This window comes from Homo sapiens, chromosome 13, assembly GCF_000001405.40.
Source record: "Homo sapiens chromosome 13, GRCh38.p14 Primary Assembly".
Classification (NCBI taxonomy): Eukaryota; Metazoa; Chordata; class Mammalia; order Primates; family Hominidae; genus Homo; species Homo sapiens.
In genome coordinates this window covers 108,099,018-108,099,847 of record NC_000013.11, presented here as the reverse complement: position 1 = coordinate 108,099,847, position 830 = coordinate 108,099,018, and the positions used below count along the sequence as shown (strand labels likewise).

The 830-nt window shown below is 38.2% G+C and overlaps 1 annotated feature.

The window, feature by feature from the left end:
- Window positions 365-527: a silencer, noted in NCBI's record as "fragment chr13:108751669-108751831 (GRCh37/hg19 assembly coordinates)". NCBI's record gives its function as "represses an EF-1alpha promoter that drives an FKBP-Casp9 reporter gene in an ReSE screen in HepG2 liver carcinoma cells {active_cell/tissue: HepG2}" and the evidence as "EXISTENCE:reporter gene assay evidence [ECO:0000049][PMID:32094911]".

The following is an 830-nucleotide window of genomic DNA, read 5'->3' as shown; positions in this document are numbered from 1 at the left end:
TAAATATCTCTAATTTGCCACATTAGTCTTAATGTCAGTTATAATATTCATGACAACAACAGCAGGAAAGAATTGATTTTGTGTCAGGCATTTTTCTGAGCAAGGTACATCTAAATCTCAATCTCTCTCTATTACTCACAACCCCTAGAAGAGATGTGTGTGTGTGTGTGTACATTGTGTGTTTTGTGAGTTAAAGTTTATGAAACTTAGAAAACTAAGTTTAGAATTATACCTGGCAAGTCAGTGTTAAGGAGAAGTAAGTGTCCCACACTGCTATCTCTAGGATTTCCTCCCCAGCCAGGATGGTGAACTACAAGGCATGAAACATCTCCATGGATGATGCAGCGTTGATTTGGTCCCTTGTGGAGGCCTTTCAGAGCCGACACACTGGCCCAGTGCACACACCCCTACCCACAGCCCAGGCCCCGAGCCATCCATCTCAACCCCAGGTTCCTGCACACATGGCTCCCGAAATCCAGTCTGTAATTCATCATGGTTGGGAATGGGAAATTGCCAAAATTACAGTCATTGTCTCTTTGTCATTTTTATTTGGTTTCCATATGTCTGAAAACTGCATTAACCAGATATGTTTTCTTAAAGGATTCAGTGATTTTTGTTATTCTACTGATTCATATTTCTCCAAAATAATTCTAATAAAATATTGCCCATTGTGCATTAACACACACACAATGTTTTTCTCTTACAAAATTTACAAGATTTTCCACAGATAAACCTATAATGTCTCTCTATTTTAATGCAATAATTGTTCCTCATGATCAGAATTTTCCATCAAAATCTACCCTTTATTCTAGGCCAATTCTATTCACATC